At 42.9% G+C, this 13,325-nt stretch overlaps 1 protein-coding gene across 48 annotated transcripts in view, besides 2 other annotated features; it reads right to left on the bottom strand.

Annotated features, from left to right (window-relative positions):
* Positions 1-13,095, bottom strand: part of OSBPL6 (oxysterol binding protein like 6) — a 209,120-nt gene extending 196,025 nt beyond the window's left edge. For 43 of the 48 annotated variants that reach the window (XM_047443123.1, XM_047443149.1, XM_047443129.1 and 40 more), the window contains exon 1: positions 12,195-12,357. The gene's annotated coding sequence lies outside the window, so the exon portion shown is untranslated. Of the gene's footprint in view, positions 1-12,194; positions 12,358-12,929 lie in introns of those variants that run through there. The other 5 variants (XM_047443154.1, XM_047443165.1, XM_047443146.1 and 2 more) reach the window with 4 other exon arrangements.
* Positions 11,373-11,667: a silencer, noted in NCBI's record as "tiled region #8011; HepG2 Repressive non-DNase unmatched - State 4:PromP, and K562 Repressive DNase unmatched - State 1:Tss". NCBI's record gives its function as "represses a minimal TATA promoter and a strong SV40 promoter by Sharpr-MPRA in HepG2 and K562 cells {active_cell/tissue: HepG2 | K562}" and the evidence as "EXISTENCE:reporter gene assay evidence [ECO:0000049][PMID:27701403]".
* Positions 12,114-12,803: a silencer, noted in NCBI's record as "silent region_12148". NCBI's record gives its function as "represses an Ori minimal core promoter by ATAC-STARR-seq in GM12878 lymphoblastoid cells {active_cell/tissue: GM12878}" and the evidence as "EXISTENCE:reporter gene assay evidence [ECO:0000049][PMID:35858748]".
* Positions 13,096-13,325: the final 230 nt, after the last annotated feature.

The raw sequence follows: 13,325 nt of genomic DNA, 5'->3' as shown, positions 1-13,325 counted from the left end.
CTGAGGTGGGCGGATCACCTGAGGTCAGGAGTTCAAGACCAGCCTGACCAATATGGTGAAACCCCATCTCTACTAAAAATACAAAAATTAGCTGGGCATGATGGCAGGTGCCTGTAGTCCCAGCTACTTGGCAGGCTGAGACAGGAGAATTGCTTGAACCCGGGAGGCAGAGGTTGCAGTGAGCCGAGATCGTGCCACTGAACTCCAGCCTGGGCAACAGAGCGAGACTCCATCTCAAAACAAAAACAAAACAAAACAAAACAAAAAAACCTCCTGTAAGAAAGAGTTGGTAAAGAGCTTACTAAAGCCTTTAGTAAGTAAACTAAACCCTATGGTAAGTGATTCAACATAAATCAAATTTTCTATCCCTTTCTTCATCTTGAAAACCAAAGGCTGGATAATGATATCACTAAATATACAGGTTATGTGACAGTGGCCTCTTCATTTTGTGCTGATTTTCTGTCCCATTGTCCACTGTATAGAGAGGAAGATGATCAAGTAAGGACACCGTTTTTCCTGTGAACTCAGTCTCATTGCTATGTCATGCCTCATAATCCCTAACCACACAACTTTAAGTGCTATTTGGGTTCTCAGTTTCCTTTGTACTGACACAGTATATGCTAGCTTTTTCACCACACATAAACCCGAGACGGGTCTTTTTTGTTTCATTCTACCTGTTGGAAAATACTTTAGTTCTTCACACAAGACAAAAATTAGATGCCAGCTTTCTCAAAACAGCCAATAAGAGAAATCCTAAGCATGTGGCTGTGTAATACAGTATTAAAAAGAATTGTGGAAAAGTTGGATGCATCATCTGATTAATCAGCATATTGGGTAGGCTCAAGTAGTTGAAGGTTACTTACTAATTCAACTGTGACTAGATTTTAACAGTTTGAAATATCATTTTCAAAAAAGGCAAAATTAATACTTTTTTGCCCACCCTTTGATATTTTCATAGCCAAGAGCCAAATGCTTCTAAAGTGTGACAAATGATCATTCTAATTAAACTGATCAAACACTTAGCTGTGCTGCTTAGCGACATAATGCCCTTAAGAGGATTAGACAAACAATTCTGGAAATATACAAATCTATCATATTTATTAATGAATTCGTGTTTCAATAAGTGACTACATGTAACTTCTCATTTGTCCAAGTCGCTGACCTAAAAGTGACTTGGGCATATATACGGGAAATATCTCCTGCTGTGCTGCTTGATTTTTTGTCCTCTGCACAGTGTTTTTGCTGAAAAGATCCTTCAGTAAAGTCCCATTTGTCTATTGTTTTCCTTTATCATGAGCACTCTTTATGTCCTGTTTAGGAAATCTTTGCTTATTTTCTTTTTCTAGAAGCTTTGTTGTTTTACCTTTCTCAGACCTACAATCTATCTGGAACTGTTATTAGAGATCCAGAACTTATTAGATCAGGTAGAATTCTAAGACTTCTTTCTCCCCCATCACTCCTCACTGTCATCATCTGGGGCTAACTACAGGCTCCCTTGTTTCTTTAAGGCCATTACAGCCATTGTCCACACCATAGAGAACTGAAGGCCGCTGAAGCTTCTTTTTTCTTCCCATCCACCAGCCTTCATCTTTGGCTTCCTCTCTTCCCTGTCTACTTAATCATGAGCTGTCACTTCAACCTCTTTTTAGCACTCTCAATTCCCCCCAGCTCACTGTCTCAAACACAAATCCCAACCCTGGCAAGGAAAAGGCATTATGGGCCAATTGGCTTTGGAGCTACAGGAAACTGGGTTTGAAATCTGATTATACAATTTACAAACTGCAGGAGCTTGGCAGTCAGTTGACATTTCTATTTTCTCATCTGTGAAACTGAGAAAGGCTGGGGCTCACGGTGGGGGAAGGTGGGGTACAGTGTGGGGGTAAAGGATTAACAATACCAACACCTTGTAGGCCTATTGTAAGGATGAGAAATAATGTATGTTAAGACCCTGGTGCAGAGTAGGCACTGAATAAGTAAATGAATAGTAGCAAAAAGGAATCAGTCAATGAATCAATAAAACTGCTAGCCAACTCACTCAACTGCATTGCTAGAGTAACTCTCCCTCTCAGGTGGGCTTCCAATGGTAAGCTCTTTCCTCTTCACCGCACTGGCTATGTTAACTTTTACCACAATCCCTCAAGACCTCCACTTCACTCCTCTGCCTGCCTCCTCACTTTCAACAGATATCTGGGGGACTTCTCCTTCTGGCCAAGATGAAGGACTGAATTTATCTTCCTGTTGGAGACAACCAAGAAGTGGACAAAACATACAAAGAAATAGTTTTCAAGATATTATCAGGCAACAAAAGACAGTGATCCCCAAGAGAGAGGAAAGGAGTGAGGTGAGTCCTAAGAAAGACTACACTAGGTTACTACCTTGAGTGAGTTTCCAGCAGTGGCACAGGGAGGGGGAACCCAGGCCCAGGGCAGCAGACTTGAGCTGACAGTTCAGAAAAACCAAGGCAGCTGTAGTCCAAAGGAAAAGGGAGATGTTCACAGAGAGATTTCCAGAGATCTGCAGAGAGTTCCCATCAAGAATTCAGTGAGGCCGGGCAGGGTGGCTCACACCTGTAATCCCAGCATTTTGGGAGGCCAAGGTAAGCGGATCACTTGAGGTCAGGTGTTCGAGACTGGCTTGGCCAACATGGTGTAACCACCCTCTCTACTAAAATGCAAAACTTACCTGGGTGTGGTGGCATGCACCCGTAGTCCCAACTACTCGGGGGGCCAAGGCATGAGAAACGCTTGAACCCAGCAGGCGGAGGTTGCAGTGGGCAGAGATCGCGGCACTGCACTCCAGCCCAGGCAACAGGGTGAGATTGTCTCAAAAAAAAAAAAAAAAAAGAAAAAGAAAAAGAAAAGAATTCAGTTAAGTCATGCTCATAGGTATAAGGAAGCCAAAGAGGTTGGAGAAAAAAACACTAGAACGCACTAGAGATGACAGAACAGTGCCTACACTCACAGAATCAAGAACAGTCTACTCCCACCTGCCAAACTAGAAAGCCTCATGATTCAGCGGACATTGGGTACAGTACACAGAAGGGTCTTGCCTAGTTCATGGAAACAATTAGCCTTAAATTGAGCACTATCTGGTCCCACTAAACAAATCTTAAAGCCAAGACCTTAAAGAGTGAAACTATTTCTAAGTAAATTAATTGCGTCACAGAACAAAGCTCAAGAACATTTACAGGAATGCAAAAATATCCAGCACCCAACAAGGTAAAATTCCCAATATTTAGCATCCAATCAAAAATTACCAGGCACATAAAGAAGCAGGGAAATATGACTCATGGTAAGGAGATCCTGACCCAGAGCTGTCACAAAGATTAGAATTAGCAGGCAAGGATATTAAAAACAGTTATAATTATATTCCGTATGTTCGAAAAGTTAAGTAGAGATACGGAGATATTTTTAAAGACCCAAATAACACTTCTAGAGCTGAAAACTACAAAGTCTGAAATTAAAAATATATCCTTGGATGAGATTAATACTGTAGACATTGCCAAAGAAGAGATTACTAAATGTGGGCCAGGCACAGTGGTATAAGCCTATAATCCCAGCTACTCAGGAAGCTGAGGTGGAAGGATAGCTTGAGCCCAAGAGTTCAAGTCTAGCCTGGGCAACACAGTCTTACCTCATAAACTGAGGTGAGACTCTACCTCAATTTAAAAAGAAAAAAGTTAAAAGAAACTAAGTGTAAAGACACAGCAATAGAAACTATCCAAAGTGAAACAGAGAAAAGAGAACTTTAAAAAATGAACATAGCCTCAGTGAGCTGTGAGATAACTTTAAGCAGCCTAATATACAGTACATGGACTCCCCACAAAAGACAGAATAATGAAGAAAAAACAGAAAACCATGTGTGAAGAAATAATAGCAGAAACTTGTCCAACTTTCTTGAAAACAAAAATCCCACAGATTAAAGATGCTTAATGAATCTCAGTGGCACAAAAGACATAAAGAAAACCACATCAAGGTACATCCTGATCAAATTACTCAACACCAATGATAAAAAGAATCTTTTTCTTTCTTTCTTTTTTTTTTTTTTTTGAGACAGTCTCACTCTGTCACCCAAGGTAGAAAACAGTGGCACAACCTCAGCTTACTGCAACCTCTGCCTCCCAGGTTCAAGTGATTCTCCTGCCTCAGCCTCCCAAATAGCTGAGGTTACAGGTGCCCACCACCACGCCCGGCCAATTTTTGTATTTTTAGTAGAGACAGGGTTTCACCATGTTGGCCAGGCTGGTCTCGTACTCCTGACCTCGAGTGATCTGCCACCTCAGCCTCCCAAAGTGCTGGGATTACAGGCGTCAGCCACAGCGCCCGGCAGATAAAAAGAAATCTTAAAGCAGCCAGAGAAAAAAGATACAGTATGTACAAAGATAAGGATAATAGATTTCTCACTGAAAACAATGCAAACAGGAGGCTACATCTTCAAAACACTAAAAAGAAAAATACAGTCTACCTAGAATTTTATGCCCAGTGAAAATATCTTCAAAATTGAAGGCAAAATAAAGACACTTTCAGACACACAGAAGTGAAAAAGTTAGCACCATTGGAAACAAGAAATGTTAAAGAAAGTCCTTTTAAGAAGAAAGAAAATGATTCCAGATGGAAATATGCATCTGCAAAAAGGAATGAAAGGCACCATAAATGGTAAATACATAGTAAATATATGATTTTGTAAATTATCATTTACATATCTTTAAAAGATAACTTTTCAAACAAAAGCAGTAACAATATAATGTGGGGTTTATTACATAAATATGACAACAATAGCACAAAAGTCAGGAAGAGAGAAAATAAAGTATATTATTATAAGGTTCCAATACTATAAGCACTCACTGTAGTGTCAGATTGGAATGGCTGATTAAAAACTGACCCAAAGTCTATCTGGATTCTGCCATTCCCGAAAGTTCTATGAGCCTACTATGTGACTTGATCTTAAAGCTGACATCATATCTGATAAAGCACTATAACTGCAGTTAACAAGCACATGTAAGAATGGTCATGGGAACACTGTCAGGCACACTTCTCAGGTTGAAAACAAATGCCACAGGTCCCTGTCAGTATTTTTTCTACATCTGTACATACATGTTTTCACAAATTAACTCTAATGTGGACCATGTGCCAGGTCAGGATGATTTAGTATCTAGGCATGTGATGGTCAGTACAAGTCTGGCACTGGCTCGGACACCTCACCTCTCAGAGCCTCAGTTTCCTCATCTACAAAATTACTTCTAAGATACTTTCTGTGATTTGGGTAATGCTGGAAAGACTAATCTGCTAGTTAAGTCTTAGATATTGAGCCACTAAGAAAATATGTCTCTTGCCGCGTGCTGTGGCACACAACTAAAATCCCAGGCACTCAGGGGGCTGAGGCCAGCAGCTGGAGGCTGTAGTGCACCATGATCATGTCTGTGAATAGCCACTGCACTCCTGCCTGGGCAACATAGTGAGACCCTCATCTCAAATAAATAAATAAATAAATAAGAAAATATGTCTCTTGATACAAAATATTCTCAAAGTAATCCCAAAAGAATCACTACATTGGAAAATGGCCATTTTTTCACTCTCAAGTTGTCACTTTGAGTTGCTTCTATGAAAATCAGATGCCTACAAACTGCTAACTCCCAACATTGCCCACCAATATTTTCTTTGGACAGAGTAACCATGATTCTTAATCTTCAAATCAGAAAGGTAAATTTAATCTTAATTCTAAATGAAATATTAATATACATTTGTAGAGTCTACAGTTTTAGAAAATACTTATTTGGGCCAGGCACAGTGGCTCACACCTGTAATCCCAGCACTTTTGGAGGCTGAGGTGGGCAGATCACAAGGTCAGGAGATCAAGACCATCCTGGCTAACACGGTGAAACCCCATCTCTACTAAAAATACAAAAAATTAGCCAGGCGTGCTGGCGGGCGCCTGTAATCCAGCTACTCGGGAGGCTGAGGCAGGAGAAAGGTGTGAACCTGGGAGGCAGAGCTTGCACTGAGCCGAGATCGCGCCACTGCACTCCAACCTGGGTGACAGAGCAAGACTCTGTCTCAAAAAAGAAAAAAAAAGAAAAGAAATATTTATCTGGAATTCCTAAAGCATTTCTGGAAGTCCTAAAGAAAATCTGTTTTAGAAAGAAAATGTCAAGGAATTATAGAAAATATTAAAATCAAGGAACACCCCTGTACAACACTCCATCACCATCCTCAAAAATATATTACTAATTTCTTATAATAGTAATCATCTATGCCAGCAGAGGAAAAAGGAAGAAAGTTACATCATGATTTGTGGGCAGTTTTTAGAAGTGTCTGAAGAGCCAGGCACAGAGGCTCACACCTGTAATGTCAGCACTTTGGGAGGCCAAGATAGGAGGAGCACTTGAGGTCAGGAGTTCAGGACGAGTCTGGCCAACATGGTGAAACCCCATCTTTACTAAGAATATAAAAATTAGCCAGGCATGGTGACACACACCTGTAGTCCCAGCTACTGGAGAGGCTGAGGCAGGAGAATCACTTGAACCCAGGAGGTGGAGGTTGCAGTGAGCCGAGATTGCACCGCTGCACTCGGGCCTGGGTGACAGAGAGAGACTCCATCTCAAAAAAAAAAAAAAAAAAAAAAGGTCTGAAGAAACAGAACCTTGCTTGCTTGCATTTAACTCATACATTATTGATTTGCATATAAATGTCAAATGACCCATTTTAAAAGCAAAAAGAAGCAACTAAAAAGCTCCAGCACCTCCAACTTAAAGAAATGTGCTTTAATCTTTGTATATTTTATTGCTGGCTTTGAAAAATGTAATCCCTAAACCTCATTATTTCACAAAATTTGGCCAGCTCACAAAGAATAATTAGGCATTATTCTCGAAGAACTTTTTTAAAATATTTCTTACACAGAGAAATAATTGTCAGTTAGCTACCCAATAATGGACACTTTGAGACTAGAAGTACAGCACTGCCTTATCCAAATATGTGTTTTCCTTCAAAGTTTAAAGGGAAAAAGCTTAAAGTATTTTTTTCCCAGTGTTCCGAAAGATTAGAATGTAAACACAAACCAAACAGAACTATAATTAGCATTTCAAACGGCAAACAATGTACAGTGTAATTTTATACGAATCAATTAACAAAAATTGTATATTTATCAACACTTACTGAATGTCCACTATGTACAAGGCTATGTGATGTGGGAGTTAAAAAGATGAATACATAGAGCTTTCTAGTTCTATGAAAAGCCCCTTAATAGCATTAGTTTTGGGGATTTAACAAATGAAAAAAAAAAAAAAAACCCTTAATGGTTATCTTGCAGAGGCTCCCCATGACATTTGAGCAGTCACTCACAGGCAGCTAAAGGTTGAAGACTCAATATCTCAGAGAGCCAGGCAACCATAGGATTTGGCCCCAAACCTAAGCAATAAAATCAGTCGGCCTTCTAGAAAGACCCAGAAAAACACTTAGCAGTAAATACCCAAGCATTCCCTCAGAAGCAAATTAACAGAAATATTAAGTGTGTAGAAAGAGTAATGGTAGGGGTTTAAGGGGGAAGAGAAGAGGACGGAAAATAATGTGAATTTTTATTTGTTTAAAGCAGAATTTCACAGTATAATCAAAATTTAAAACGCTGCCTTTGGATACTGACACATGAAAGCTCTCATTTGATTTAAGAAAATTGAGTTTTATGTTTATGTTTCTTTTAATCACACATAGGGATTAATAATTTTGGTCATATTTTACTATCTGCCAGATAGTATTTATGCACTGAACATGGCAAAGCCTGAGTGAAGAATCCACAACATCCAATGGATATATGATGCATTTAATTTCCTCTCAGAATATAACAAATGCACAAACTGTCATATCTAATAGTCACTAAACACCAACAATATACCCAAGGCCAACTGAGTTAGACAAAGATGAATTTGAAAGAAATGTTCTATTTGAATGCTTAATACTTGAAAAACTGAGATCCAATTAAATTATCCTTGGTCATTTTAGCTATTGTACCTTTGGGGGTACTATTTCTATAACAACAACTCCCTAACATTGCTGGCAATATGTGGTGAGTTTTTACTCTGGGCCAGAAGTTCACAGAATATTTGACACAACTGGAGAGTTAAGCCCTAATAGTATGTCCATATTACAGATAGTACGTCCACATTACAGATAAGGAAAACACCTTGGGCAGATTACTTAACCTCTTTGTGCCGCAGTTCTCTTATTTATTTATTTATTTATTTATTTATTTATTTATTTATGAGATGGAGTCTCGCTGTCACCTAAACTGTAGTGCAGTGGTGCAATCTCGGCTCACTGCAACATCTGCCTCCTGGGTCAGACCTCATGAGGTCAGGAGTTCAAGACCAGCCTGACCAATATGGTGAAACCCCCTCTCTACTAAAAATACAAAAATTAGCTGGGTGTGGTGGCATGCACCTGTAGTCCCAGCTACTAGGGAGGCTGAGGCAGAAGAATCGCTTGAACCCAGGAGGTTGCAGTGAGCCAAGATTGCGCCACTGCATTCCAGCCTGGGCGACAGAGCGAGATTCTGTCTGGAAAGAAAAAAAAAAATTGATACTACACGCCAAGATTCTTCATATTTCTTTTCATTATAGTCAAATACCTTTGACTCTCCTCTTCTTTTTTAGGACAGTAGTTTTAGTTTTTAAACTAATCCTTTTCATTTTCTCCAAACTTGAGAACTCTCATCTCAATCAGCAGTGCCTCCTAACGAGGAGCCTTGGATCTCTCCTGGTAGTCCCCACCTATCTGTTCCCTAAACTTAGTGTATAAATGCTTTGAGTGGTTCACTGTTGGAAAATTTCTCATGGCTCCCTCAACTTCTGTTCATATCATTTTCTAAGTCCACAACAGCCTTCCTCTTCTCAGCATGACCACTTCCTGCTCAACCTTTTTGCAAATTTCTTCCATGAACTCTGGGCAACTCATGCCTATGCATAGGGACTGCATCTTCATCTTTCAACTAATATCTTGTAGGCTTATTGTCTTGTGATAACTCTATTGTCCTTATTTTCTTTTTCCTTAGAACCTTAAAATATCATCACTGGTCCATGCATTATCCTCTTTCTTTTTTTTTAATACAATATCTACCCCCATCCAAAGTTTCAATTACCCATGGTCAATCTGGTTCTGAGAATAGGTAAATACAGTGTAATAAGATAATTTGAAAGAGAGAGAAACCACATTTACATAACTTTTTATTACAGTATAGTGTTAATAATTGTTCTGTTTATTATGATTGTTAATCTCTTACTGTACCTAATTTATAAATTAAATTTTATCATAGGTATCTATGCATGGAAAAGAAGCATATACATAGGGTTTGGCACCATCGGAGGTTTCAGGCATCTACTAGGGAACTTGGAACATACTCCCTTTGGATAACGGGGGAATTACTGTACAATGATCACCTAGAAACTCACCATGAAACCCAAGGACTAGGTCATTATCAATAACAAACATCCATGTGTGTGTTCCTCCCCACATGCTACCCTCCAGTCCATATAAAAGATAACTGCCATTCTAAGTTTTACGTTCATCATTCTCTTGCTTTCTAAAAAGATATGTATTTCAACAGACATATATGCAAAACAGAAGTGCATGTTTTTATTTAGTGTTTGTATTTGGTTGTTTCCCTGGTTTATGTAAATTAGTACAACCATTTGGGAATATAATTTGGCAATACTTAATAAGTTGAATATTCACATAACCTACAAACCAGCAATTTTATTCCTTGGTATTAACCCAAGAGAAACACTGGCACGTGTGCCCAGGAAACAACAATAATCAGAGCAACACTGCAATATCTCAAAAAAAAAAAAAATGGTCAGAGAGGAGAAAAGAGAAACATACTGCGTTATAAGACACATAATGGAATATTTTACTGCAGTGAAAGTCAGTGAACTACAACTACATACAGTATGAATGAATCCAGAGATATAATATTGAGTGAGGAAAAAAAAGTTCCAGAAGTCAATGGATACTATGAGACCCTTTTTCCCCCAAGATTTAAAACCACTTTTTAAAAAGTATCATAATTATGACCTAACCTTTGCAGCAAAACAACAAAATCCTTCTTTTGAGAATGTATGCCTTACCTTTCAAAACTATATTATCTTCTCTCTAGTCCAACAGTTTCATGAGTAAAGTCATAAGAATTTTTATCTCCTTATGCAGTTTACCTAATCCGGTATCTGTGGTGGTACTAAGACCTCCAACCACAAAGATTTCATCTTGGAAGGACTTTATTTTTCTCCTTGAAATAAAGTTAACTTAAGGTTATAGCAATCTAGGGATAAGAAAACTTACATATGTGATCCTATAAAAGTCCAGCAGAACTACCTCATACTAAAGCCAAGAGTCACCTGACAAGTCATAGTAATCTGAAACTGAGGTACCGCCAAAGGTAATCCATCCACTGAATGTATAATGGCGTTATCAACATTGCATCCAAAAATATGAGCAAAACCAGAATTTTTAGGCTTTCTAAAAGCCTGAAATTTTAATTTCAAAATATTTCATTTTTACCTTAAGAAAAATTATTTTTTAGGGAAAAAATATATGAACTCCTACTGCAAAAGAATAATAATAATAAAATCCACCAATCAGGGCCTTTCCCAATGAGGGCTATGCATATTCTCTGTAGGTGATTATTGCTGAATTACACTGCAGCTTCCCTTCGACCTTGGGAACCCTGCTAACTCTCAGAGTTACTGCGAGGTCTTCTGTTTCATTTATTATTAGTCTTTGTCTCCGCAATGCTGTAGCATGTGATAGAAATATCAACGTTGTGAGCTTGCAGTACCCAAAACTGTAGAAATGTTTCCAAAAAATAAAGCGGGGGTTGGGGGCGGGGGGAAGGATGAAAGAAGGAAAAGAAACAAAAACAAAACAAGAGGAAAACAAAGTTAATGTATTAAGATGGGAAATTTCTTATTTTTACCTTGTGAAGACTACATTTCCTAATCAGCTTAGTGATATGTAACCATTAGTATGCAATTTTTAAATTTAAGAAAAGATGTCCAAGAAAATTATTTAGAAAAAAAAAATCACAACTGAATATAATAGACAATTGGCTAAACTTAGCCCAGCAATTTAAAAATGAAAGTTCCTATAGAAAAAACCTTACAGGATTTTGTGTCCAGAAGAGAGAAATAATCTGGCAACCCAGTGGGTTCACTTAGTTTCGTGTCATTTGCTTCATGTCCATTATGTAATGCTTCCCCTAGCTTTAGGTCTCTATGTTTAAGCAACCGTTCAGGTATATCATAGAATTGTCACAAAATCAGTATCTGGTTATAACTTTCAAAAACAGCTTAAAAGGTGCCTTGCAGATGTGTCTATACGCAGCAGAAGCTTTGGGGAGAAAATCCGCTTGTGTCATTACTTCTCCAGGCTTTCTCCTCAGGTCTCCCATTCCCTCCTCCCCCAGCATCCCCGGCGACACGATCTGCGGGCAGCTCCCGGCTTGATGCAGGGGAAGCACGTCTTGACTGCAATGCAAACGCTGTCCCGGTCTGAACCAGGGAAGGCAGACTTGGCCCTGGCCGGGGGAGTGGACGGAGGCTGCCGGGAGGGCTGCAGGGGCGCCAGCAGCGGGTGGGCAGGGGTGCCCCGCGAGGGCAGTCCGCAGTGCACGCGCACAATAAAACCCAATGCACAACTTCCCCAGCCGCTCCTCTCGGCTTCCCCGATTCCCTGAAAGGTGCGGCGTAGGCGTTAGCTCTCGCGGGCGCGGGCGCTCTCACCCGCGCCGGTTCGGTTTTCCGCTGACAATTACATCAGTCCTTCTCCCTGCCCCTGCTTCAATCCCCAGGCAGCCTGCGGGGAGCAGGGGCGCCGGCCCGCGCGAGGGAATGCGAGCGCTAGTGGCAGGCGGCCGGAATTCCCTGGCAACGAGGGGGAGGGAGGGCGGCAAACCGGGACCGCGATACAGACGCCCCCTCCCATCCCGGCCGCGAGAATGGGCTGACACCGCCGCCCCCACTTCCCTGTAGCCCGGGCTATCGGCCGGGGGCGCCTCCAGGGGGACGGCGATGTCCTGGGGACCCGAAGCTGCGGCTGCCCACCCACGCGTCCCTCGGGGTCCTCGGCCCGCCGGAGGCGCACAATGCCCCCGGGCCGCGATGCGGGCACCTTGGCGCCCGCCCCAAGCAATCCCTTTGCAGCTAGGACACCTACCTGGAGGGCGAGCGGTGGCGCCGCGGACTCTGCGGCGGCTGCGCGGCTGCGACGGGAGGCAGGAGGCGGAGAGCCGGCCCCGGCAGGCGGACTGGCGCGCGGGCTAGTGGAGGAGAGGAGGCATGGGCGCCGCCTGCACCGAGCCGCGATCTCCAGCACCGACAGCGGCGGCGGCGACCGTGCTGCGCCTCCAGTGGTCCGCTGCGCTGCAGCCCCTCCTCTCCCACGGGCGGGGCGCGCTGGCGGGGCGGCGCTCCGGGTTCCCCGCCCCCGGCTCCCGCCCGTCCGCCCGGCTGGAGTGGAGCGGCAAGCGGCTGGGGCTCATGCTGCGCACCCGCCCTACCGGGCGCCCCTCCCTGCGCCGCCAGATGGGCTAAGGACCCGGCGCCCTGCGCCCTGGTCACGCGGGGTCCCACAGCCAGGGCTCTCCCCTGGCCCGGCCTCCGTGGGAACCCGTGGTGTCCCGAGATCACCCGCAGTGGAAACCCCGAGTTGCCATCCGCGGGCCTGCGCGCAGTAGCGGAGCCCTCGCCCCGCGCAGTCCGGCGGAGGTGAGCCGGCCGCGCTCGGGAGGGTTGCCCAGAACGGCTCCAGCGCTCGGCCCAGGAGCGCCGCAGCCGGGAGCACTGCGGGAGACCGAATTCCGAAAGGAACGGCTGCCTGGCGGCCTCCGCTCGGGGCTGCCAAACCCATGTCCCTGGGCGCCCTTCTGAGGTCGTCATTTCATACACTTACGCGACTGTGCGTGCCTGCTCCCGTCCCTGACTCGCTCGGGAGCAAAAACTTCCCGGGCCCAGAGAAACACCTGGGTTCTGCGAAAGGAAGAGCCGGTTCCTTCAAGCCCCTGGCAAAGCCGATCAAAGTCAGTCAGTCCCGCCTCACTACAACCCTTCCACACCCTTAAACCCTTCCACACTCCAAGCCACTCCCGGCCTGCGTTCGGTGTGCAGATTAATCTAAAGGCAAATTTGCTGGGAGGGACGGGGTAATGTAAATATTTGTACAGACATTCTGTAAACGAGTGACTGCGGACATGTCAATATTTCAAGACATTTGTGTCATCATCATCTGGGGGTGGGAGGCGGAGGGGGAGTCCAGAGGACATCGACTGGACTTAATGGGAGCTATTAC

The sequence above is a fragment of the Homo sapiens genome, chromosome 2 (assembly GCF_000001405.40).
Source record: "Homo sapiens chromosome 2, GRCh38.p14 Primary Assembly".
Classification (NCBI taxonomy): Eukaryota; Metazoa; Chordata; class Mammalia; order Primates; family Hominidae; genus Homo; species Homo sapiens.
Note: the sequence above shows the minus strand (reverse complement) of the source record. Positions and strands in the feature narration are given on the sequence as shown.